Source organism: Homo sapiens, chromosome 5 (genome assembly GCF_000001405.40).
Source record: "Homo sapiens chromosome 5, GRCh38.p14 Primary Assembly".
NCBI classification, from domain to species: domain Eukaryota; kingdom Metazoa; phylum Chordata; class Mammalia; order Primates; family Hominidae; genus Homo; species Homo sapiens.
The window spans coordinates 119080105-119107258 of NC_000005.10; the positions used below are offsets into that span (position 1 = coordinate 119080105).

Genomic DNA, 27154 nt, shown 5'->3' on the forward strand with positions numbered 1-27154 from the left:
GGGAGGCTGAGGCGGGTGGATTGCTTGAGGTCAGGAGTTCTAGGCCAGCCTGGCCAACATGATGAAACCTGTTTCTACTAAAAATACAAAAAATTAGCCAGGTGTGGTGGTGGGTGCCTATGATCTCAGCTACTCGGGAGGTTGAGGCAGGATAATTGCTTGAACCTAGGAGGCAGAGGTTGCAGTGAGCCAAGATTGTCTCGCTGCACTCCATCCTGGGCGACAGAGCAAGACTTCGTCTCAAAAATAATATAAGTAAAATAAAGTGTTCTATACTCAGTCAACTCCCCTACCTTGGTGCACCTTCCAACCCACACCCCAATTTGTTTTGTTCGTCCTCCTGTGTTCATTATCTCTGTGAATGGTTCCATTATCCAGCTGGTTTTTTTTAAGCCAAAGATTTGGAAATATCCTTAACACCTAATCCTCCCACATTTTTCTTATACAATCAATCAAGCCCTGTAGATTCTGTCTCCTGAGTAATTTTAATATATTTCCACTTGTCTTTTCAGTAGTGCAGTTACTCTGTTGAAATAGCCTTTTAACCTCTGTCCCTGTATTTAATCATACTTGTCTTCAACTTAAACAATATTGCCAGAGGGAATCATTTTAAAAGGCAGATTAGGATAAGGTATGAATTCTTCCCAATGCATTTTACTGTACTTTTCTAGTCTCTCATCACTTTTCCTCCTCTCTGTAATAGCTGCCTCCCTAAACTGTAGCTATATCTAACGTCTTTCCATTTACACAGTAAGAAACGCTTTCTTATTTTCAAGCCATTTCACAAGCTCTTCAGGAAACTTTTCAATTACCCCTCCCTAGGCAAAAAAGATGTAAATCTGGCTAACTCATCCCTAAAGGCTTGGTTTTGATGTCCCTAGTCAGACTAGATGATCTTCCTATTTGTAGCCTATCTTATAATTCCTTTTTCAGATGTTACCCACTAGAATTGTACTACCTCTAGGGACAGTGACTTCATATTGCATTCCAAACAGCTGGCAAGGTAGGGCCTAGTAAATACATGAGGACAAATGGGACAAAGAAAACCTGTGCTGGAGTCAGAAGAGCTCCAAGGACTAAGCTGTCTGTTCTGGGCAAGGCAAAGAAGACAGCTGCGTTTGGGCTGCCTCCCCTTCTTCACTCCCAGCTTAAAATCCTCAAAAAGTCAAATCCAGATGACTTCTTGGAAGGCCTTAGGGTAAGAAAGTGTCATTTCAGCTTTCTATTCACTCCCCACAGAAATAGCACTCTTCCTTGATTCATTTAACTAACATTTATTGATGCCATATGTGTGCGAGGCATTGTTTATTGGTAGCTAAAATCTTTACCTGAGTCAGAACCTTTTTAAAATAAAACATATTTTAATGTGTAAAAACTGCTTGAGAACATACTTTGACTCAAACATCTTCACACTTAAGTCAATTAACAGGTATATATAGTTGGCTTCTGGTTAAGTTTTGTTTTTATAGGAGGAATAAGAACTCCTAAGTGTTGGATGCAAGAAGTGTAGATGAGAAGTTAATGTGAAGAAGATATAGAGCCGCAGAAACAAAGATTGAAGACCAACTTAGACTTTACCAATTTTAACCAGAGGTACCCTTGCTTAACCTTTTCGTTTTAACTAATGGGGACAAATTGAGACTGTGCATGGAGAATTTTGTTCTTACGTGTATTTGAAGGTAGTTTTTGGCCATAAGTTATAAAGGTTTTAAGAAAAGAGTTCCTTTGGAAATAAAAATTGAGTTTTTACTGCATTTGGGGTCCTGCTATCTAAAAATATGAGAAAGAATTACGAATAAACATGATTCTTGCCCTTCAGGAGCCTGATTTTATTGTTGTCTGAATTGATTGCTGACTGTCATAACTATTTCCCAGAGGAAGTTTTCTTAAGGTTATATATATATATATATATATATACACACACACACACACACACACACACACACACACACATACACGTATATACATGTTCTTAGAATGTTTTATAAAATCAATTTTTATTTTATTTATTTTTAATTTTTTTTAGAGACAGAGTCTTACAGTGTTTCCCAGGCTGCAGTGTAGTGGCGCAGTCGTAACTCACTGCAGCCTCAAACTCTTGAGTTTAAACAGTCATGCTACCTCAGCCTCTTGAGTAGCTGGGACTACAGACATGTGCCACCATGCCTGGCTTATTTTATTTTTTTAGAGACAGGGTCTCACTCTGTTGCCCAGGTTGGAGTGCAATAGTGTGAACTCAGCTCACTGTAGCTTCAACTTCCTTGGCTCAAGTAGATCCTCCCACCGCAGTGTCCCAAGTAGCTGGGACGACAGGCATGTCCCACCATGCCTGGCTAATTTTTAAAATTTTTTGTAGAGTGGGGTCTCACTGTATTACCCAGACTGGTCGTGAACTCCTGGGCTCAAGCAATCCTCCCACATTGGCCTCCCAGAGTGCTGGGATTATTTATAGATGTGAGCTGCCATGCCTGGCCTTATTTTATTTTTTAATTGATGCCTAATAGATGTACATGCTTTCAAAGTAAATGTGATAATTTAATACATTCATATAATTTGTGAAGATTAAATCACTGTACTTGGCATATCCAGCACCTTAAATATTTGTGTTTATGCTAGAACTATTTGAATTCGTCTAGCTGTTTTGAAATATACAATAGATTATTGTAAACTACATTTACAGTAGTGATCTGTCCAACACTAGGTCTTATGACTTCCATCAAACCGTTTATTAGTTCCAATTATTCAACTTCTCTTCATCGTCTCCCCCAACCTCCTTAGCCCTCTGGTAACCATCAGTCTGCTCTTTATGAGATCCACTTTTGTAGCTCCCACATATGAATGAGAACATGTGATATATTTGTCTTTCTGAGCTTGGCTTATGTCACTTAGAATGACCTCCAGTTCCATCCTTTTTATTGTTTGTTTGTTTGTTTTGTCAGAGTCTCAAAAAGGCTGGAATGCAGTGGCATGATCTTGGCTCACTGCAACCTCTGCTTCCCAGGTTCAGGCGATTGTTGTGCCTCAGCCTCCCCAGTAGCTGTGATTACAGGCATGTGTCACCATGCCTGGCTAATTTTGTATATACACACATATATATTTTTTAGTAGAGATGGGTTTCGCCATGTTGACCAGGCTGGTCTCAAACTCCTGGCCTCAAGTGATCTGCCCACCTTGACTTCCCAAAGTGTAGTTCCATCCTTGTTGCTGCAAATGGCAGGATTTCATTCTTTTTAATGGCTGAATAATATTTCATTGTGTACATATACTACATTTTTTTCATCCACTGATGGGCACTCAGGTTGATTTTATTATCTTGGGTACTGTGAATAGTGCTGCAAAAACATGGGCACATAGATGTCTTTTTGATGTACTGAATTTCATTCTTTTGCATATATACCCAGTAATGGAATTGCTGGATCATACGGTTGTTCAGTTATTAGGTTTTTGGATTTTTTGAGATAGAGTCTTGCTCTGTTGCCCAGGCTGGAGTGCAGTGACACAACCTTGGCTCACTGCAACCTCTGCTTCCTAGGTTCAAGCGATTCTCCTGCCTCTGCCTCGGAGTAGCTGGGATTACAGGTGTGTGCCACCACGCCTGGCTAATTTTTGTGTTTTTAGTAGAGATGGGGTTTTATGTGAGACAGGCTGGTCTCAAACTCCTGGCCTCAGGTGATCCGCCTGCCTTGGCCTCCCAAAATGCTGGCATTACAGCCCTGAGCCACCGTGCCTGACCAGTTTTTAGGTTTTTGAGAACCTGCATACAGTTATCTGTAGTGGTTTTACTAATTTACATTCCCACCAACACAGTACCAGGGTTCTCCTTTCTCTGCATTTTTGAGAACATCTGCTATTTCCAGTCTTCTTGTTAAAAGCCATTTTAACTGGGGTGAGATGATATATGTTTATAGTTTTTATTTGCATTTTCCTGATGATTTGTGATGTTGAACATTTTTTCATATACCTGTTGGCCATTTGTATGTCTTCTTTTTAGAAATGTCTGTTCATGTATTCCCCCCCTCACCCCTTTTTTTTTTAAGACGGAGTCTTGTGCTGTTGCCCAGGCTGGAGTGTGGTGGCTCATTCTTGGCTCCCTGCAACCTCTGCCTCCTGGGTTGAAGCAATTCTCCTGCCTCAACCTCCAGGTAGCTGGGATTACAGGTGCACACCATCATGCCCGGCTAATTTTTGTATTTATAGTAGAGACGGGGTTTTGCCATTTTGGCCAGGCTGGTCTCGAACTCCTGACCTCAAGTGATTCACCTGCCTCAGCCTCCCAAAATGTTGGGATTTCAGGCGTGAGCCACTGTGCCTGACCTTTTCCCCAAAAGCGTTCTTTTTGCTTAAAATTGTTTTGGCTATTTGGGGTGTTTGTGGCTCCACCTAAATTTTAGGGTCATTTTTTTCTATTTCTTTGAAGAATGTAATCTGTATCAGAATACCAAAAATACTCTTCACAGAAATGGAAAAAACGATCCTTGGCTGGGTGCTGTGGCTCATGCTTGTAATCCTAGCACTTTGGGAGGCTGAGGCGGGTGGATCATCTGAGGCTGTGAGTTCGAGACCAGCATGTGACCAACATGGAAAAACCCCATCTCTACTAAAAATACAAAATTAGCCCGGCGTGGTGGCACATGCCTGTAATTCCGGCTACTCGGGAGGCGAGGCAGGAGAATTGCTTGAACCTGGGAGGTGGAGGTTGTGGTGAGCCAAGATCACGCCATTGCACTCCACCCTGGGCAACAAGAGTGAAACTCCGTCTCAAAAAAAAAAAAAAAAAGATCCTAAAATTGTCTTCTGTGTGGTCATTTTAACAATATTAATTCTTCCAATCCATGAGCATGGAATATCTTTCCATTTTTTGTGTGTCTGCATCAATTTCTTTCATCAGAGTTTTATAGTTTTCCTTGTACAAATCTTTCACTTCTTTGGTTAAATTAATTCCAGCTGGTCACAGGGGCTCACTCCTGTAATCTCATCACTTTGGGAGGCTGAGGAGGGCAGATCACATGAGGCCAAGAGTTCAAGATCACCCTAGCCAGCATGGTGAAACCCCGTCTCTATTAAAAATACAAAAAAATTAGCCAGGCATGGTGGTGTGCACCTGTAGTCCTAGCTACTCGTGAGACTGAGGCGTGAGAATCGCTTGAACCCGGGAGGCAGAGGCTGCAGTGAACCAAGATTGGTGCCACTGCACTCCAGCCTGGGCAACAGAGTGAGACTTTGTCTCAAAAATAAATAAATAAATAAATAAATAAATAAATATAATAATAATAATTAATTCTGGATTTTTTCTGTTCTTCGTAGCTATTGTAATGGGATTGCTTTCTGATTTCTTTGTAAGATTGCTCGCCATTGGTGAGCATACAATGGTGTATGCTATTCTATACACCATTGATGTATAGAAATGCTGCTGATTTTTGTATGTTGATTTTGCATCCTGGAATTTTACTGAATTTGTTCATCCGTTCTAACAGGTTTTTTTGGTGCAATCTTAAGGCTGTTCTGAGTATACAATCATATCATTTGTGAACAAGGCTAATTTGACTTCTTCCTTTCCAATTTGGTTACCCTTTATTTTTTTCTCTTGCTTAACTGCTCTGGCCAGGACTTCTAGTACTATACTGAATAAAAGTGGTGAAAGTCGGCATTCTTGTTCCATATCTTAGAGGAAAAATCTTCAGTTTTTCCCTATTTAGAATGACGTTAGCTATGGGTTTTTCATAAATAATCTTTATTATTGTGAGGAATGTTCCTCCTATGCCCAGTTTGTTGAGGGTTTTTATCATAAAGGGATGTTGAATTTTATCAAATGCTTTTCCAGGATCTATTGAAACTATCATATGGTTTTTGTTCTTGGTTCTGTTAAGGTGATATATCACGTTTATTGATTTACATATTGTATTAGTCTCTTCATGCTGCTGATAAAGACATACCCAAGACTGAGCAAGTTACAAAAGAGGTTTATTGGACTTAGAGTTCCATATGACTGGGGAGGCCTCACAATCATGGCTGAAGGTGAAAGGCACATCTCACATGGCAATGGCAAGAGAGAGAATGAGAGCCAAGCAAAATGGGTTTCCCCTTATGAAACCATCAGATCTCGTGAGACTTATTCACTACCGTGAAAACAGTATGGGGTAAACCGCCCCCATGATTCAATTATCTCCCACCTGGTCCCTTCCACAACACATGGAAATTATGGGAGTACCATTCAAGATGAGATTTGGGTGGGGACACAGAGCCAAACCATATCACATATGTTGAACCATCCTTGGGTCCCTGGGATGAATGCCACTTTATCATGGTGAATGATCTTTTAATGTGTTGTTCAATTTGGTTTGCAGGTATTTTATTGAGAATTTTTGTATCTGTCTTCATGTGTGATATGGGCTTGTAGTTTTTTGTTGTTGTTGTTGCTTTGTCTGGTTTTGGTGTCAGGATAATGCTGGTCTCATAGGATGAGTTTGGAAGTCTTCCTTTCTCTTCAGTTTTTTTGAAGAGTTTGAGTAGAATTGGTGTTAGTTCTTCTTTAAATGTTTGATAGAATTCAGCAGTGAAACCATCAGGTCCTGAGCTTTTCTTTGATAAAATACTTTTTATTATGGCTTCCATCTCATTACTCATTATTGATTTGTTGAGGTTTTGAATTTTTTTTGAAGAGTTTGAGTAGAGTTGGTATTAGTTCTTTAAATGTTTGATAGAATTCAGCAGTGAAGCCATAGGTCCTGAGCTTTTCTTTGATAAGATACTTTTTATTATGGCTTCCATCTCATTACTCATTATTGATTTGGTGAGGTTTTCTATTTCCTTATGGTTCAATCTTGGTAGGTTGTATGTGTCCAGGAATTTATCCACTCACTTCTGGATTTTATTGAATTTGCTGGTATATGGTTGTTCATAAGGATTCTTTTTAGTTCTTTGATCTAGTTGTTTTGTCTTCTATTTAATTTGTTACTTACTTGGGTCTTCTCTTTTTTGCTTAGTCAAGCCACAGTTTTGTTGATTGTAACTTTTCATTAAAAAGTTTCATTTCATTGATCTTTTTTTTTGTCTCTATTTCATTTATTTATGCTCTGATCTTTATTTTTTCTTCATACAAATTTGGGTTTGATTTGTTCTTGTTTTTCAAGTTCCTTGAGGTGCATTATTAGGTTATTTGAAGTCTTTCTACTTTTTTTCTTTTTTCTGCTTTTTTAATGTAAGCATTTATTGCTTTCAACTTTTCTTAGTACTGCTTTTGCTGTATCCTATAGATTCTGTTATGTTGTATTCCCATTTTCATTTGTTTTAAGAAAGTTTTAATTTCCTTCTTAATTTTGTTATTGATCCATTGGTCATTCAGGAGCATATTTGTGAAGTTTCCAAGGGTTTTCTTACTGATTTCTAGTTTTATTCCATTGTAGTGAGAAAAGGTACTTGATATAATTTCTGTTTTTCAAAAAATTGTTCAGACTTGTTTTGTGACCTCAGATATGTCTCTTCTTGGGAATAGTCTATGTGCTGATGAAAATAATGTATATTCTGCAGCGGTTAGGTGGGTGTTCTTTAAATGTCAGGCCTATTAGATCTAGTGTATCGTTTAACTGATGTTCTTTGTTGATTCTTCTGTTAGATCTGTCTATTACTGAGAGTGGGGCGTTAAATTCTCCTACGTTATTGTATTGCATTCTATTTAGATCTATTCATGTTTGCTTTATTTTTATTATTTTTTTTTTGAGACAGAGTCTCGTTCTGTTGCCCAGGCTGGAGTGCAATGGCGCTATCTCTGCTAACTGCACCCTCTGCCTCCCAGGTTCAAGTGATTCTCCTGCCTCAGCCTCCCAAGTAGCTGGGATTACAGGCACCCTCCACCATGCCTGGCTAATTTTTGTATTTTTAGTAGAGACAGGGTTTCACCATGTTGGCTAGACTGGCCTCGAACTCCTGACTTCAGGTGATCTGCCAGCCTCCGCCTCCCAAAGTGCTGGGATTACAGGTGTGAGGCACCAAGCCCAGCAGTGTTTGCTTTATATGCTTGAGAGCTCTGGTGTTGGGCGATAGAGATATTTATAATTGTTTATACTATTTCTGGATTGACTGCTTTATCGTTATATAGTAATCTTTGTCTCTTTATAGTCTGTCTTTGATTTGTAGCGTATTTTATCTGATGTAAGTATAGCTAGTCAAGCTATTTTTTGGTTTTCAGTTGCATGGAATATCTTCTTCCACCCCTTTACTTTCAGTCTGTGTATGCTTTTGTTGGTAAGGTGGGTTTCTTGTGGGCAGTATAGAGTTGGTTCTTTTTTCTTCATTTATTCAGCCACTCTGTGCCTTCTAATGGGAGAATAAAGCCCCTTTACATTGTGTTGTTAGGTTGCTGCAAAAGTAATTGTGAGTTTTGCCTTTAAAAAAGTATTATTGGTAAGTAAGGATTTACTACTAGCGTTTTGTTGTTTTTCTGGTTGTTTTTCTAGTCCTCTCTTCCTTTCTTACTGTTATCCTTTGTGGTTAAATGCTCTTCTCTGTTAGTGTGTTTTACTTTGTTACTGTTTATTTTTAAAGTATTTATTATTGGTTTTGGCACTGTGGCTACCATGAGGCTCACATAAAACATCTTATTGAAGTGCGTTATTATCTTAAAGGTATGACAGCTTATATCTCAAAGAATAGAAACAAATAAAAATAAAATGCTATACTCACATTTTTGGCTTTCAGTTGTCTTAATTTGCCTGTTTTTATATTGCCTGTCTCTTAAAAAGTTATTGTAGATATTGTTTTTGATAGATTTGTCTTTTGGGCTTCATAATAGAGTTATGAATAGGTTACACACCACAATTACAGTATTCTTCTAGATTTGTCTGTGACTTAATTTTTCCAGTGAGTTTTATATCTTCCAAAACAATTTTTTTTTTGCATATTAGTGGTTTTTTTAATTTCATGTTGAAGAACTCCCTTTAGCATTTTTGCAAGTCTTAATGGTGGTGAATTTCGTCACCCTTTGTCTGGGAAATACTTTATCTCTCCTTCATATTAGAAGGATAACTTTGCTGGCTACAATATTTATAGAAGACAACATTTTGTCTTTTAGCATTTTGAAAGTGTCATCTAGCTCCCTCCTGGCCTATGTGGTTTCTCTTGATGAATCTTTTGCCAGACAAATTGGAGCTCCATTATATATGCATATATATATATACATATATATATATATATTTTTTTTTTTTTTTTTTTTTTTTTTTTTTTGAGACAGAGTCTCATTCCATCACCCAGGCTAGAGTGCAGTGGCACGATCTCAGCTCACTGCAACCTCTGCCTCCTGGGTTCAAGCAGTTTTCATGCCTCAGCCTCCCGAGTAGCTGGAATTACAGGCGCGCACCACCACACCCTGCTCATTTTTGTATTTTTTTAGTAGAGATGGGGTTTTGCCATTTTGGCCAGGCTGGTCTCAAACTCCTGGCCTCAAGTGATCTACCCACCTTGGCCTCCCAAAGTGCTGGGATTACAAGCATCAGTCTTGTGCACAGCGACTTCATTTTTGGTACTGCCTTTTTTTTTTTTTTTTGAGACAGAGTTTCACTCTTGTTGCCCAGGCTGGTGTGCAATGGCGCAATCTTGTCTCACCGCAACCTCCACCTCCTGGGTTCAAGCAATTCTTCTGGCTCAGCTTTCCTGAGTAGCTGGGATTACAGGCATACGCCACCATACCCAGCTAATTTTGTATTTTTAGTAGAGATGGGGTTTCTCCAGGTTGGTCAGGCTGGTCTTGAACTCCACACCTCAGGTGATCCGCCCGCCTTGGCCTCCCGAAGTGCTGGGATTACAGACTTGAGCCACTGCACCCAGCTTTTGTACTGCTTTTAGGATTTTCTCTTTGTCCTTGACCTTTGAGAGTTTGATTATTTTATGCTTCGGGTTAGTCTTTTTTTTTTTTTTTTTTTTTTTTTTTTTTTTTTTTTTGAGAAGGACTTTCGCTCTTGTCGCCCATGCTGGAGTGCAATGGTGAGATCTCGGCTCACTGCAACCTCTGCCTCCCGGGTTCAAGTGATTCTCCTGCCTCAGCCTCCCGAGTAGCTGGGATTATAGGCGCCCACCACCCCACCCAGCTAATTTTTGTGTTTTTAGTAGAGACAGGGTTTCACCATGTTGGCCAGGCTAGTCTGGAACTCCGGACCTCAGGTGATTTGCCTGCCTCAACCTCCCAAAGTACTGGGATTACAGGTGTGAGCCACTGTGCCCGGCCACTTGGGGTTAGTATTATTTGGGTCAAATCTGTTTGGGGTTTTTTGGCCTTTGTCTACCTGGATATTTATGTCTTTTCTGAAGTTTTAGAAAGTTTTCTGTTACTTCTTTGGATAAGCTTTCTACTTTCTCTTGTTCAAATCCCTCTTGAATGCCAATTCTTAGATTTCATTTTTGAGGTAATTTTTTGTATCTTGTAGGCAACTTCATTACTTTTCTTTTTTGTTTTTTTCTCCTCTGTTTTTTTTTTTTTTTTCTTTGAGACAGAGTTTCACTCTTTTTGCCCAGGCTGGGGTGCAATGGCGCGATCTCGGCTCACCGCAACCTCTGCCTCCCGTGTTCAAGCGATTCTCCTGCCTCAGCCTCCCAAGTAGCTGGGATTACCGGCGCCTGCTACCATGCCTGGCTAATTTTTTTTTGTATTTTTAGTAGAGACGGGGTTTCACCATGTTGGCCAGGGTGGTCTCGATCTCTCAACCTTGTGATCAGCCCGCCTTGGCCTCCCAAAGTGCTGGGATTACAGGCGTGAGCCACCGTGCCTGGCAGTCCTCTGTGTGTTTTTAAATAGCCTGTCTTTGAGCTCACTGATTCTTTCTTCTGCTTGATCCATTCTTCTATGGAGAGCCTCTAATGAATTTTTCAGTTCAGCAAATGTATTTCTCAGTTCCAAGATTTCTGTTTGATTTTTTAAAAATATTTCAATCTGTTTATTAACTTTTTCTGATAAATTTCTGAATTGCTTTTTGTCTTATCTTAGAGATGACTGAATAGTTGTTTCCTTAAAACTATTTTGAATTCTTGGTCAGAGAGCTCACATATCGCCTACTGGTTGGGGTCAGGTTCCTTGCTTTGTTTGGTGAGATCATGGTTCCCTGTTTGCTGCATTTATTTATTTATTTATTTATTTGACAGTGTCTTGCTCTGTTGCCCAGGCTGGAGTGCAGTGGTGAGATCACAGCTCACTGCAGCCTTAATTTACCAGCTCAAGTTGTCCTCCCATCTCAGCCTCCTTGGTAGCTGGGACTACAGGCACATGCCACCACACCCAGCTAATGTTTTTATTTTTGTTTTTTTGTAGAGGCAAGTCTTGCTGTGCTGCCCAGCCTGGTTTCAAACTCCTAGGCTCAAGGGATCCTCCTGTTTTGGCCTCCCAGTGTTGGGATTACAGGCGTGATCCACTGTGCTTGGCCTGCTGTTTCTTGTGGATGCACACCTATGTCTTTGCATTTATGGATTAGTTATTTATTCTAGTCTTTGGCTTGTTTTGGTTTATATTGGATATCTTTACTTGGAGATTCTTCACTGCTAAGCCACTGCCCCTTTTTAGGCTCCAGGTGTTGCCTTAAGTCCAGGTTCACCTTGGCTCTAGTAAACCATCAAAGGGCTGCCGTTCCTAAAGTGAGGAGATCCCACAGGAGGTATCTCAGCAGAGGGGGAATGCTGGCTAAGGGTTCATGTGCTGGAAACCTGTGGGACAAACCTCCTACAGGGTGGTGTTACTACTGAACAGCCTCTCTCATGTGGCATCTCCTTTGGCTGAGTTATGGAGCACTATTTTCAGGGATGCAGATAATAATACTGCCTGCCCTCTTTGTTTCTCCCTGTCCTCAGAGATATTTCTTTAGGCACTTGTGATGCTTCTTATGGGTTAGGGCTGGGACAGATATTCTGCTAGAGAACCCAATATGGTGGGGAAGCTGGCTGTTCACCATAATCTCCCTTTTTCCAGTGTAGAAACAATGTTTGGGGAAATTTTCTGTGCCCTAAGTGCTGGGCAGAATTGGGGGAGGGGTGTTGTGAATGTGGAAGTCTCTTTGTCTTTTTTCATTTCTGAAAATTGTCTTTTTTCATTCCTGTGGCCCCAGGAACTGTCTTGTCTTCATATGTGAGTTCTGGGTTATTTCTGGTGATACTTTCAGCACTGTATATTTGTTTTGGGTTTTCTTTTTCTTTTATTTAAGAAAAATTCTTTTTCTTTTTTTTTCACATAGGGTCTTGCTGTGTTGCCCAGGCTGATCTCAAACTCCTGGGCTCAAGCGATCTTTTCTCCTTAGCCTCCTGATTCGGTGGGATTACAGGTGCAATGTTGTATGAATCTGTTTTTCATTTTCTTTGGAGGCAAGTGAAACACCACCTTTTTGGAGCCACAGTTATTATTTTTTAAATAACAGCTTTATTGAAATATAATTTACATACCATAAAGTTCACCCTTTTAAAGTGTAAATTTTAGTGGTTTTAGTGTATTAACAATGTGTATTACCACAATCTGATTATAGAACATTTTCCTCACCCCCAAGAGAAATCCCGTGTCTATTACCAATCACTGTCTATTTGCCACTACCCCTAGCCACTGGCAGCTGCTATCTTACAGCCACTTACATTGCTTGTTTGCTTATTTGCACCAACTGCCTTACTGACTCTATGGATTTGTCTATTCTGGACATTTCATATAAGTGAAATAATAAAATATGTGGTCTTTTGTAAAGTTCATCCATGTTCTAGCATTTACTAGTACTTTTTATGGCTTAATAATATTCCATTGTATGGATATATACTATATTTTGTTTAGCCATTGACAGTTGATGGACATTTGAGTTGTTTCCCTTTGTGGCCATTATGAATAATGCTGGTATGAACATTGATGTACAGGTTTTTGTGTGGACATGTTTTCAGTTTTCTTGAATACAGGCATATCTTGTTTTCTTGCTCTTTCCCTTATTGCACTTCAAGTATTATGATTTTTACAAATTGAAGTTTTGTGGCAACCCTTTGTTGAGCAAATCTGTCAGCACTATTTTTCCAGTTGCATGCGCTCACTTTGTGTCTCTGTGTCGCATTTTGGTAATTCTCAAAATATTTCAAACTTTTTTTATTATTATTTTTGAACAGAGTCTTGCTCTGTCACCCAGGCTGGAGTGCAGCAACACGATCTTGGCTCAGTGCAACCTCTGCCTCCTGGGTTCAAATGAGCACGCCTGGCTAATTTTCATATTTTTAGTAGAGACTGGATTTCACCATGTTGGCCAGGCTGGTCTTGAACTCCTGACCTCAAGTGATCTGCCTGCCTTGGCCTCCCAAAGTGCTGGGATTACAGGTGTGAGCCACCATGCCTGGCCCCTTTTAAAATTATTATTATATCTGTTATGATGATCAGTGATCTTTGTTACTATTGTAATGGTTGTGGAATGCCAATGAACTGCGCTCAGACCTCCCTATTCACTGAGACACAATGATATAGAAATTATGAATAGTGACAACCCTACAGTGTCTTTTAAGTGTTCAGAAAGGAAGAGTTACACATCTCTTTCTTTAAATCAAAAGCTAGAAATGATTAAGTTTAGTGAGGAGGGTGTGTCAAGATGGGCCAAAACCTAGGCCTATTGTGCTAGTTAGCTGTTGTAAATGCAAAGGGAAAATTCCAAAGGAAACTATTAATTAAAGTTCTGCTCCATTGAACACATGAATGATAAGGAAGCAAAATAGCCTTATTGCTTATATGGAGAAGGTTTGAGTGGTCTGGCTAGAAGATCAGACCAGCCACAACATTCCTTTAAGCCAAAGCCTAATCCAGAGCAGGACCCTAACTCTTCTCAATTCCGTGAAGGCTGGGAGAGGTGAGGAAGCTGCAAAATTAAAGTTTGAAGCCAGCAGAGGTTGGTTCATGAGGTATAAGAAAAGAAGTCATCTTTATAACCTATAAGTGCAAGGTAAAGCAGCAAGCGCTGAGTGATGTAGAAGCTTCGGCATGTTATCCAGAAGATCTAGCTGAGATAATTGATGAAGGTGGCTATGTGAAAGAACAGATTTTAAAGCAGATGAAACAGCCTTCTGTTGGAAGAAGATGCCATCTAGGCCTTTCATAACTAGAGAGGAGAGGTCAATGCCTGGCTTCAAAGCTTCAAAGGACAGGCTGACTCTTGTTAGGGGCTAATGCAGTTGGTAACTTTAAGTTGAAGCCCATGCCCATTTATCATGCCGAGAATCCTAGAGTCTTTAAGAATTATGCTAAACCTAGTCTGCCTGTGCTCTACAAGTGGAACAACAAAGCCCGGATGACAGCACCTATGTATACAGCACAGTTTACTAAATATTTCCAGCCCGCTGTTGAGACCTACTGCTGAGAAAAAAGATTTCCTTTCAAAATATTGCTGTTCATTGACAATGACCTGTGCTCTGATCAGGCAGGTGTACAAGGAGATTAATGTAGTTTTTATGCTTGCTAAAACATTCATTCTGTAGTCCATGAACCAAGAAATGCTTCCAACTTTTAAAGTCTTATTTAAGAAAGTTATTTCATAAGGCTATAGCTGCTATAGATAATGATTCCTCTGATTGATCTGGACAAAGTAAATTGAAAACCTTCTGGAAAGGCTTCACCATTCTAGATGCCATTAGGGACATTTGCAATGCATAGGAGGAGGTCAAAATATCAACATTACCAAGAGTATGGAAGAAGTTGATTTCATCCTTCACAAATTACTTTGAGGGGTTCAAGTCTTCAGTAGAGGAAGTAACTGCAGACTTGCACAATCTTTTTTTTTTTTTTTTTTAATTTTTTATTTTTAGACAAGGTCTCACTCTGTTGCCTGGGCTGGAGTGTAGTGATGCTCACCACAGCCTTGACCTTCTAGGCTCAGGTTATCCTCCCACCTCAGCCTTTTGGGTAGCTGGGACTACAGGCGTACGCCACTGCAACCAGCTAATTTTTTGTGTTTTCTGTAGAGCTGGTTTTGCCATGTTGCCCAAGCTAGTCTTTAACTCCTGGACCCAAGCGACTCACCTGTCTTGGCCTCCCAAGGTTCTGGGATTACAGATGTGAGCCACCATGCTCAGCCAAGTTCAATAATTTTATTTGATTTAAAATTTACCAAGACTACGGAGACAGCTTTGTTAACTTCTAGTACCATCGCTGAGAAAAAGTCAAATAGTAGTAGTATGATGCAGCAGCAGCAAAAGAACAAGGGTAATTCAGAACTAGATAAGTCATTGAATGATGAAGTGGTAATTGTTATTAGTTGGTATTTTCCTCTGTATAGTACTAAGTGTTTATTTCTGGGATTACTTTACATTTCTCAACTCTGCAAGTGTAATATTTGTATTAAGTAGTAATTTGTGTGGGCTTCAAAATTAGTATAGACTTGATGTGGGAAAATTTTGGGTCATGTTTGACAAAATACTTGCAACGTAATATCTGAAATTAGGTAGATAATTTCAGGTACAACAAAGGTGAAGTTGTGAAGACATGAGTTTTTTTATTCCACTGAAAGGAAACTGAAAATGTTGTTTAGAAGGGAGCAAATCTAAATTGTAAACATGTAAAATTCAACACAATATTTTGAGAAACAGTGACAATCAGTATTCTCAAAATTTAATATCAAGGAGAAAAATTAGTTTCTAAATTATTTGAAAGACAACTTCTCTTAAAATTAGCCTTTGGAATTTATTCTTGCTAATGGTCTTATGACAAGCCTTATGATCCCATCATGGATATTTATATAGGAGAGGAGATCATCATGTGATTTTTTTGTTTGTTTGAGCCAGTTCTTTTCACTTTGTGAAACTAGTGGAATCATAATTGATTATTCTTTCTAATTTTTAGGTAAAATTCCAGGCAAGCATGTTAACTAGGGAAGCCCCTGTTGGTACCATGGAAATAGCAGGAGACCAAAAATCAAGAGATCAGGTTCTGAAGCCCCACTCTGCCACTAAGATGTTATCAACTTATTTGGGCCTTGATTTTCTTTTCCATATAGCACATTCATTTGTATGTTCTCTCAAGTCCCATTTTTAATATTTTTTGATAGAGTATACAGAATAATTTTGGTTTTGGTAGGAATTAAGGTGTATATGAAGTATAATTTTTTTTTTTTTTTTGAGATGGAGTTTTGCTCTTGTTGCCTAGGCTGGAGTGCAGTGGCGCGATCTCAGCTTGCTGCAATCTCCACCTCCCGGGTTCAAGCGATTCTCCTGCCTCAGCCTCCCAAGTAGCTGAGATTACAGGCATGCACGACCATGCCCGGCTAATTTTGTATTTTTAGTAGAGACGGGGTTTCTGCATGTAGGTCAGGCTGGTCTTGAACTCCAGACCTCAGGTGATCCGCCTGCCTCAGCCTGCCAAAGTGCTGGGATTACAGGCATGAGCCACCATGCCCAGCCTGAAGTATAATTTTTAAATATATGTGCGTGTGCAAAAATGAGGAGCAAGTAGAGAGTTGATAAAAACTTTATGAACTCAGGTTGGAAAACAGTTTGTGTTAGATGTCTTATTGTTGTAACGTGTGCCAGTCTATAATATGAATCCTAGGAGAACAACCATGTACCCTGTAATGGAAAAAACTCCCGTGATCAAAGAAGGTGGTAGGGAAAAGGACACACAAAAGAAGAGTTCTAGTTGGGAGAGTTATGCTAACTGTTGTAAAATTGAAAAAGAGCTATGAAATGCTTGGCAACAAGTCTTGAGCTATGTATACTTTCTTTTGTTGTGATGACTGTTTTTGTGAAATTAAATGCTTCATTTATTCCACTTATAAATTATTAGCTGCATTCTAGGCCCTTGTGTTAGAATTGAGGACTAGAGTAGAGAACAAGATAAACTTGAATCCTTCCTTTTTGGAATTTAACTTTTAATAATAGATAGGGACAAAAGACATTTAAAAATTGTGATATATGCCGTGAAGAAAATAAACAGTAATGTGATAGAAAGTAATGGGAGAGATAGTGGTTGGGAATTGTAGCCTGAATGCTGGAAAGCAGCTAACTAGAAAAGACCAGGCAGATAAAAGGCAGATAAACACCTTGAGATGTAAAAAGGAACAGAAACAAGAGCCAGCTGAGAGAAGGAAAGAATAGCCTGAGATGGGTTTATAGAAGGACCACCATTTAGGATATTGACCATGGTAAGGTGTTGAGATTTTATTCCAAGTGCAGTGGAAAACTGTTGAGGGGTTTAAGCAGGGAAAATAACTTGGTGCAGTAAACATTCTTCAAATATCACTCTTTGTGGAAATGCATTAGAGGGAGGCAAGAATGGAAGTTTGCTATTAGTAGAATAGGAGAGAGATGATCATGGTTCAGTTTAGACAAGGGTGGTAGCATTCACTGGAGATGAAAAAAGTGAGCCGGGCGCAGTGGCTCACGCCTGTAATCCCAGCACTTTGGGAGGCCGAGACGGGTGGATCACGAGGTCAGGAGATCAAGACCATCCTGGCTAACACGGTGAAACCCCATCTCTACTAAAAATACAAAAAACTAGCCGGGCGTGGTGGTGGGCACCTGTAGTCTCAGCTACTCAGGAAATTGAGGCAGGAGAATGGCGTGAACCTGGGAGGCGGAACTTGGAGTGAGCCGAGATTGCGCCACTGCACTCCAGCCTGGGCGACAGAGTGAGACTCCATCTCAAAAGAAAAAATAAAAAAGTGGACAGAGTTCAGAGTTGATGCATATTTTGCAGAAAGGACTGACAGAATTTGCTAATAGGCTGTATATGGGGAGGTAAGGGAAATAGTGCCAAATGTAGATTTTTTTTTTAAGAAAACACCTAAAATTGGTCTTTTAAAACATTTATTCTCCCTGCCTTAAAACATGATAGTTAATACTAGTATTCTACATGGTAAATGTTTCCTTGACACTTTTATCATTTTTATTTATTTATTTTTTTAGGCTTATGCATCTGGATGTGACATTGTAATACTGGGAAGCGATTTTGAAAGATTACAGATAATCCCAGGAGCTAAACATGGAAATATTCAAGTGGGATGTGTAGACTGTTCAATGCAACAAGGCAAGGTTTGTAATCTTCTTCTAATATACAAATTTGTTTGGAATATGGTTTTTGTCAGGATAATCTCTGAAGTGTGTATTTCCTATTGAATTAGAGACTTGGCTTTGTTTCAAAGATAGTGTAGCTAGAAGAATTTTTGGCTGTCTAAGATGCATTCTATAGAGTGCCAGAAATTCTCTTCTTATATAATTTTAAATTATAGCATCATCTTCTCTGAGAAAGAAATACAATACTTACTGATATAGAATGAGTCTAAAGCTTACGTATTTAAAAGGTGATTGGACTGGGGGAAAGGAGTAACAATGAATCTTCAATATTTACAAATAAACTAAAGGAAATGATTTAGAATATTTTTTTTTTTTTGTCTGTGAACAGGTAGTTATCTCCTTGTAACTTCTATGTAACAAGGGCTGTGTAACTTTTTGTGGAAATGAAAAACTCTTTGAGAGTTTATAATATTCTAAGCCCATAAGAAAAGTGAAAAACTTTATCTGGACTTCTATTTGCATATGAAAAGTAGAAAGGTAACCTTGAAAGTAAAATAGCAACAACATAAACAAAAGTAACAAAGTATAAAATTCTTCTAGATCAGGTTAAATACAGTTCCTGTAGTACCAGAATGAGAAAGTCATACTACTAGGCAAGGCAGCATAATATATAGCTTAAAATAACTCCATATAGGCATAGGTGGTAAGGCCTATATATAGTTGTAGCTAGACTGGACTGAACTTCGCAAATACACTCATATGATTCCACTAGAACATTTTGTGTAAGGAATCAAAATGGTCATATTAAGAGTCCATGGACCCAATCATTTGTTTTTAAATCTAATCTTCATTTGAGGTAAACTTTCTAGGATTAAAAGTTGCCATCTGGGACTTAAAGATATTAATTATAAAACGAGTTTCTGTTTTCTGAATCTTTACATATTTGTTGGACTACTGTTCTTTTTGTTACATGGTATTCCTTCCCTTTAATATAGTTACAGGTGTCCTCTATCTTTTGTTGAGGCCTCTTATGACTTCTCGCTGTACAACAAAAATGATCTTTATTATGGAATGCTGGAAATCTTTGGGTTTTTTTTTTGTTTTTTGTTTGTTTTTGTTTGTTTGTTTTGTTTTTTGTTTTTCAGATGGAGTCTCGCTTTGTTGCCCAGGCTGGAGTGCAGTGGTGCAATCTCAGCTCACTGCAGCCTCTGGCTTCCGGGTTCAAGCAATTCTCCTGCCTCAGCCTCCCAAATAGCTGGAATTACAGGTGCTCGCCATCATACCCGGCTAATTTTTGTATTTTTAGTAGAAACGGGGTTTCATCATGTTGGTAAGTCTGGTTTCAATCTCCTGACCTAGCGATTTGCCCTCCTTGGCCTCCCAAAGTGCTGGGATTACGTGAGCCACTGCGCCCAGCCTATCCTTGAGATTTTTATTTTCATTCTCTTCATGTTTGTTTGATCTTCTAGCTCTTTTGTTCTGTAATCTTTCTTAACTGTATAAAAACTTGCTTAATACCATCTGGACTCACATGGAGCTGGTTAATGTTAAAAATATAATTTAATACTTTCCAATATGAGCTATCTTTTTGTGATAGACTATATGACAGTCCAGGTTAGAATGAAGAAATCATGGCCATGTGTGGTGGCTCATGCCTGTAATCCCAGAGCTTTAGGAGGGTCAAGGTGGGCAAATCGCTTGAGACCAGAAGTTTGAGACCAGCTTGGGGCAACCCTGTCTCTACAAAAATAAAAATAATAAGTAAATAGCCGGACATGGTAGTATGCTCCTGTAGTCCTAGCTACCCGGGAAGCTGAGGCGGGAGAATCACTTGAGCCCAGGAGTTCCAGGCTGCAGTCAGCTCTGGTGGCACCACTGCACTGCAGCCTGGGTGACAAAGCAAGACCCCATCTCTACAAAGAAAAACAAAAAGAGGAATTAAGAAGTCATTTGGTTTTATAATCATTTAATGAAGAAATATTTTCTTCATTTACAGATATCAGTATTATCATAGTGGTTCCTTAAAGTATCAGGAAGAAAATTGGCAGGTTCTGGTACCTGGGGACTTCTGACTGTTTACATTTAAGAAGGAAATGTTCTTTGGGAAGCCGAGGCAGGTGGATCATGAGGTCAGGAGTTCAAGACCATTCTGGCCAAAATAGAGAAACCCCGTCTCTACTACAAAATAAAAAAAAAAACATTAGCTGGGCGTGGTGGCGGGCGTCTGTAATCCCAGCTACTCAGGAGGCTGAGGCAGGAGAATCGCTTGAACCCGGGAGGCAGAGGTTGCAGTGAGCTGAGATCGTGCCACTGCATTTCAACCTGGGTAACAGTGTGAGACTCCGTCTCATAAAAAAAAAAAAAAAGAAGGAAATGTCATAGGCACCTGTATTTTTATTATTACTGTTTTTTTCTTTGTACTGTACTACCACCTAATTCATTTTTCTGAGAAAATTAATCCTCATTTATCCTTTTATTCATCAGCTTCAAAGTATTCTTAGCCCATTACCTTGGAAAAGTTCAAATTGTTCACCTTGGTGTGAGGCCTTTTACAACCTGGCTCAGATCTGCCTTTTTAGTCTCAGGTACACTATTGTGTTATAAGGAGCACTCTCTTCTTGGTGGGATGGTGGTCATTCACCTCTAAACATACATTGCCTCTTTTAATCTTTACATCTGTTTTCTTTTTTTTTTTTTTTTTTTTTTTTTTTGAGACGGAGTCTCACTTTGTCGCCCAGGCTGGAGTGCAGTGGCGTGAACTCGGCTCACTGCAAGCTCCGCCTCCCGGGTTCACGCCATTCTCCTGCCTCAGCCTCCCGAGTAGCTGGGACTACAGGCGCCTGCCATCGCCCGGCTAATTTTTTTTTGTATTTTTTAGTAAAGACGGGGTTTCACCGTGTTAGCCAGGATGGACTCGATCTCCTGACCTCATGATCCTCCCGCCTCGGCCTCCCAAAGTGCTGGGATTACAGGCGTGAGCCACCGCGGCCGGCCTTACACCTGTTTTCATACTATGCCCTATTTATAAAGTTGAATACTCACTGCTTTTTGAAATCCCACCCATAATTAAAGGCCCAAACTAAACACTTCCTCCAGATCAATGCAGCACAAGTGATATCTATATCCTAAGAATTCAGAAGCCTTAAAATATCCATTCACAGTTTTTTCTCCATGTTTGTTGTGTCCTCATTTCTTACCTTCTCTTTACTACATCATATGTTTTTTTTTCTATCCCTGATTCATTCATTTAATCTCTCTCTCTGTTTGATTTCCAATATTTTGATGTTCTTTATATGAGACTCACTCAAGTTATAGTAGTAGTTACCTTATAAAACAGAGCCAGGAAAGGTTATGATCCATCAATTTAAAGAGTAAATTCAAAGGATAAAATAGAATATGTTTTAAAATGTACTCAGGGAGTTTCCAGAGGAATAGACCTAAGTTATATTTTTGAAAAGTTAATGTACACTGACAGAATTGTCAATTTAGAGGATGGATGACGACAATTAACATTTACTGTGCATATTGTATGTCACTTATTATATGTTAGGTGTTTTACAAATGTTATTTCAACCCTCAATGCTGTTAGGAAGGTAGTGTTGTACATATTATGAACACTGTAATGGAAACTAACGTTTGGAGAGATTAAGTTGCTAGTTAACGTAGTAAGTTGCAGTTCTAGGATTCTAATGCAGATGTGATAGTCTTCAAAACTGACATTCTTAAGCATCAGTGAATGAAATTGTGTGTATTGGCATATTTAAAGTTATAGTATTCATTTCTTTGCTTTTTTTGATTCATAAGTAAGTTAACATATCCCTAATAAATTCTTTTTTTCTTTTTAAAAGATTGCAGCGTCTTATGGAAATGTTATCTCCATTTTTGAACCAGTTAACCTACCAAAACAAAAGAAAAATTTGGTCAGTAATTTATGATTTCTTCTTTTAGGAATTGAAATGTTTTAAGTATTGAAAGAGTGTAAAATCAGAGTGATCATTGAGTAAATCGGTATTACTTATATACTGTAATTGAACCTACATGTTAAATTCCATTTTGATGTTAAAAATATATTTAAATTTTTCATTGGAATAGAACTAAAATAAATTGTGCCAATGAATTGTTGAAATGCTTTATTATTTTATTTCTGACATTTTTAATTTTATAATATTTCAAGAGTCAGTAACCTAAAGTTTGGCACTACTTTATTGCTAGTATCAAATACCGTTGTCCAGCCATATGTGGTACTCTTTCCTTTGTTTTATAATCTACCTTTATACAGGTTTTCTGCCTCTTCAGGGCTTAACTTTCTTGCATTATTTAGATCATGTAATACAGTCGTTAACAGGTCAATGAATGTTTTTCTTTATAAGCAAGCTGTACTCAGAAATAGTTCTGAAAACTGGTTACCCAATAATTTATAAATATTCGAATCATGTTAGCAGATTTTATAGGTTCTTTAATGCTTGTGCCTGTAATCCTCTCTATTTGGGAGGCTGAGGCAGGAGGATTGCATAAGGCCAGGAGTTTGAAACCAGCCTGGGCAAGATTTTAAAAAAAGTTTAGCCAGGCATGGTGGCACATGCCTATAGTCTCACCTGCTCAGGAGGCTGAGATGGGAGGATCGTTTGAGCCCAAAAATTTGAGGTTGTGGTGAGCAATGATGGCACCACTGCATTCCAGCCAGGGTGACACAGTGAGACCCTGTCTCTAAAAATAAAAATAAAAGCAAACCGTCTGAAAGAAGATAAGTGTAGTGTCATTGAAAGAGCAGTGTAAGGGAGCTAAATGATGAGAAATTATGAACACAAGGAAACAACAGACACTGAGGTCTACTTGAGGGTGGAGTGTGGCAGAAGGGAGGGGAGCAGAAAAGATAACTATTGGGTACTGGGCTTAATACCTGGGTGATGAAATAATTTGTACAAGAAAATCCCTTGACACGAATTTACCTATGTAACAAATCTTCACAGGTACTCCCAAACCTAAAATTAAAAGATTTTTTTTTTTTTTAAAAAAAAAGAAAGAGCAGTGTATTGGGAGTCATAGGACTGGTTTCTATTTCTGGGTCTATCTAGCTAGTTGGTCTTAGGTAAGTCAGCCTTAAGAAATTCTTTGCTTAACTCTCAAATTGATTACTATCTATTCAGTCTTGATGGGAATATTATTAGGCTAACATGTCAAAGATGGTTTAGGAATGTATTAATTATAAAGGACTAAACTGTTTTAATAGCAGACATACCTTTATATATCTTTTGATAGTTTTCATGTCATCTTCACTTAGCTCATTAGTATTTTACAAATTACTTCAAACCTAGTTTGTGCAGCCATTATTTCTTCTTTTTATGAATAAGGCAGTAGAGTAGGCTCAAAGAATATAGTGACTTGACAAGTGAAGCAGCTGTTAAGCCACAGAACTAAGAGTAAAACCATCTGTATTGATTCCTAGGTGTGAGTGTTCTTTCCTTACCTTGTGTTAATGAAAACTATTTTCTGAGTTAATTGATATTTATCTTTAAATTTCATAGAAATAGTGTTCACACTTCTGATTTCTATTTGTTTTTATAGATTGCCTAGTGAATCCACTATTTGAGCCTCTTAAAGCCTTAAGAATTAGTAATTGGCAGTACTAAAAAGAATTTTTTAAGGCGATTACCCCACCCAGCCCAGAACAGTGTATTTCAGTACTCAATAAATATTTATTAAATAAAATAAGTAGCTTTTGAAAATCAGTATGTTATGTTAAAATGCCTTTATTGGGAAGGATAGAATAGAGAATTTCAATGTTTGCCCATTTTCTCCTTTCCTAATTATAATTGATGAATGTAATGTATAAAACTCAAAAAGAGGCTGGTTTATTGGCTTATCAGCACTGACTTTGCAGAAAGGACAATAAAAAACTTGATGAAGAAGGGCAAAAGTGGATCAAATGGTGAAGTTATAGACTTGAAAGATGTATAAAATCTATGATTCTAAAATATAGTTTCAGAATGTTTAGATCCTTGTAAAAATATATTCTTTCCTTTTCTTTGTATATTATGGAGTATTCTTGTGAGGTGGTGGTCTTCATGAGAGTTGCACATCACAACTACCATTGGATACATGTGCCCAAATCCTGCTCTGGGAATTTCTACATCTGTAGCTGTGGGATTGTGTCTATGCACTTATATGTCTTGTTCTAGAGAGGGTTCTGGTATGTACTGTGATTGAAAGACATTCCTGCAAGGCAGTGTTTCATGAAAGCATATTCTGTAGGTCACCTATGTCAAAATCACCTGGGGTGTTAAAGTACAGGTTTCTGTGCCCCATCCTGAAGCTTTTGAACCTGAATTTTTGGGCACAGGTCTCGGAAATTTGAATTTTTAGTAACATCTCAGGCTATTATTTGTTGTACCAAAGTTTGAGAGCCACCACATTAAGAGAGTATGAATCTCAATCTGTAATTGGGCTGTGAACTCAACTTAGTGTAGGCCACAACCCGAATTTAAAAAGAGAATGAAATAGAGAAAATATCAGAGTATGTCACATGTAATAAGGACAAACATAGGTTATATTTATTTGTATGTGTGTGTGTTCTGGGTCAGCATACATTGTGTATTTCTTACTGATTTGCAGGCAGAAAAAAAGGGAAAAATTTCGCTTTAAGAAGTTGTAAGGCCATAAATTATATAGTAGTATCAAAATGTTACATCTTTTATTCTGAATTTTCCCACATACTATTATGATCTCAGATGGGGACAAAACAGTAAAAGAGAAGGAAATGTCAAATAGTAAAGCCACAGACACATTTAAAATTAACTTTTTAACTGTAATAATAAAGTAATAATTAAATCTGAGGCTATTAAGACTGTTATCCAAGGTAGCGTATGGTTATTGATTGTTTATACTAAAGATAGCATTTTGACCACCAGTTATGGATATTCTCTCACATACCTTCTTTATCATGTGTTCTCTATTTTTGTTGACTGAACTGAACATTTTGTTATCTTTAAAATTGACTGCCTGTGTTATTGTAAGAATAACAAGCATAAACGTACACATTTGACAGAGAAAATATGCCAATCATAATGGGCTAAATGACTTTTCTTAATTTTAGGAATTATATAGTCAGTGGCAGAAAAGTGGCCAATTTTTTCTGGAATCAATAGCACACAATATAACCTGGGATCCCACAGGTAAGAAAATAAGCAGGATTAACTAAAATGAAATATCACTTGCCTAGTTGTTCTTATTTTTATTACTCTTATGTATTTCACTTCTGCTGGGTGTGAGGTTGTGGGGAATACCAAAGAAGTAAAATGGATTATGCCCTTTTAGAGTTTATACTGAAATGAAGACAGATATGCACTGTAAGAAATGAGAGAATGTTCTAAGTGCCATAATAGGATACCCATTGTTTTTGGAAAGAGATATTTCTCTGGAGAATTAACGTTTCATTGAAAAGGAGCCTTTGGACCTGAGAGTAAACAGACTTTAGCAATGAGAGTTGGGTAGATGGAACAGGAAAAAAGTGAAATTTAAGAAAATATATGCCAGGCGTGGTGGCTCACGCCTGTATTCCCAGCACTTTGGGAGGCTGAGGTGGGCAGATCACCTGAGGTTGGGAGTTCAAGACCCGCCTGACCAACATGGAGAAACCCTGTCTCTACTAAAAATACAAAAAATTAGCTGGGCATAGTGGCGCATGCCTGTAATCCCAGCTACTTGGGAGGCTGAGGCTAGAGAATCGTTTGAACCTGGAAGGTGGAGGTTGCAGTGAGCTGAGCTCATGCCATTGCACTTCAGCCTGGGCAACAAGAGTGAAACTGTCTCAAAAAAAAAAAAAAAAGGAAGAAAATATAATGAATATATGTATCAGTTATCTATTTCTGCATTAGAAAAGCATCCTCCAAAATGATGGATGGCTTAAAACATCCATCATTTTATTGCTTATGATTCTTTTGGTCAGGAAGACTCTGTGGGAATGGCTTGTCTATTGTTCCATGTGGTAGTGACTGAAGCAGTTTATCTGCAGCTAAAAGATCCAAGAAAGGCTTTGTTCACATATCTGGGCCTTGCTGCTTGCTATCTACTGGAATGCCTTTGTTCTCCTCCACATGGCCTCTTCTGTGGCCCTCTGTAGCAGGGCAGCCTGGATTTTACATGGTGGCTGCATTCTGAGAGTGAAAGTAGAAGCTGCAAGGAAGTCCCAGAATGTTATTGCTGCCACATTATATGGTCACAGGTCCAGCTAATATTAAGGGTTGGGAGACATAGACTCCCCCTCTTGATGAAAGATATGGCAAAGTCATATTACATGGAGGCATCAACACAGAGAGACATAATTTATTGGGAGCCATTTTTACCATTCTACGAAAGTGAGGGAAGGCACAGAGAGAGAAAGCATAAGATACATTATAATAAGGATTAGTATTTCACTGGGCTGAGTCTCAGTGGTGGTAAGGAGATAAGACCTTACCATGTTATAGGAGACCTTTAAAGTCATGCTAAAAATTTGAATTTAATTCTTTATGGTTGTCTAAAAACTATAGGTTTTCAAAAGAGGCTAGTCATACAAGATTTATGGTTTTGCGAGATTTGTCTGCTAGCAGTGAGTTAGAAGGGTCAGTGGCAAATGGAACAGGAGAAGGAGTGACCTTTGGAGAGGTTGTATTCTCATTAGTCTGGATGAGAAATAAGAACTTATTTCAATGCCTTTTCCATAGTAGGTGTTCAATTAATATTAAATGAATTAATGAATAGTGAAAGGTATACATGGATATGAAATGTGTTTAGGCAGTAGAATTGACATTACTTAACAACTGGATTTGAAATTACTTTGAGAGTATCTATGACCACACAAAGAGTAATATGTAGGAGTTAGAGGTAGTGGAACATAAGGTATTAATTGGATATGTGGACCTTGAGAAGCTTGTATATCATAAAGCAATATATAGACATTTGAATCTAGAACATAAAAAGTTATCTTTGGGGCTGGGCACGGTGGTTCAAACCTGTAATATCAGCACTTTAGGAGGCTGAGTGGGGAGAATTGCTTGAGCCCAGGAGTTTGAGACCAGCCTGGGCAACATAGGGAGACTCCATCTCTACAAAAAAATTTTTGAAAAGTTAGTCAGGCTTGGTGGCTGGCACCTGAGGTCTCAGCTATTCAGGAGGCTGAGGTGGGAGGCTTGTT

At 38.6% G+C, this 27154-nt stretch overlaps 1 protein-coding gene across 26 annotated transcripts in view, besides 1 other annotated feature; it reads left to right on the forward strand.

Moving 5' to 3' along the window:
• Positions 1-27154, forward strand: part of DMXL1 (Dmx like 1) — a 178101-nt gene that overhangs the window by 9078 nt on the left and 141869 nt on the right. For 20 of the 26 annotated variants that reach the window (NR_170867.1, NR_170868.1, XM_011543213.3 and 17 more), the window contains 3 exons: positions 17875-18000; positions 21831-21902; positions 25076-25154. Coding sequence is in view for 20 of the 26 variants with exons in the window: in XM_011543213.3 (XP_011541515.1) it covers positions 17875-18000; positions 21831-21902; positions 25076-25154 (277 nt within the window). In the remaining 6 variants the exon portion in view is untranslated. Of the gene's footprint in view, positions 1-1469; positions 1594-17874; positions 19313-21830; positions 21903-25075; positions 25155-27154 lie in introns of those variants that run through there. The other 6 variants (XM_005271912.3, NR_170869.1, XM_017009146.2 and 3 more) reach the window with 6 other exon arrangements.
• Positions 3727-3806: a silencer, noted in NCBI's record as "silent region_16263". NCBI's record gives its function as "represses an Ori minimal core promoter by ATAC-STARR-seq in GM12878 lymphoblastoid cells {active_cell/tissue: GM12878}" and the evidence as "EXISTENCE:reporter gene assay evidence [ECO:0000049][PMID:35858748]".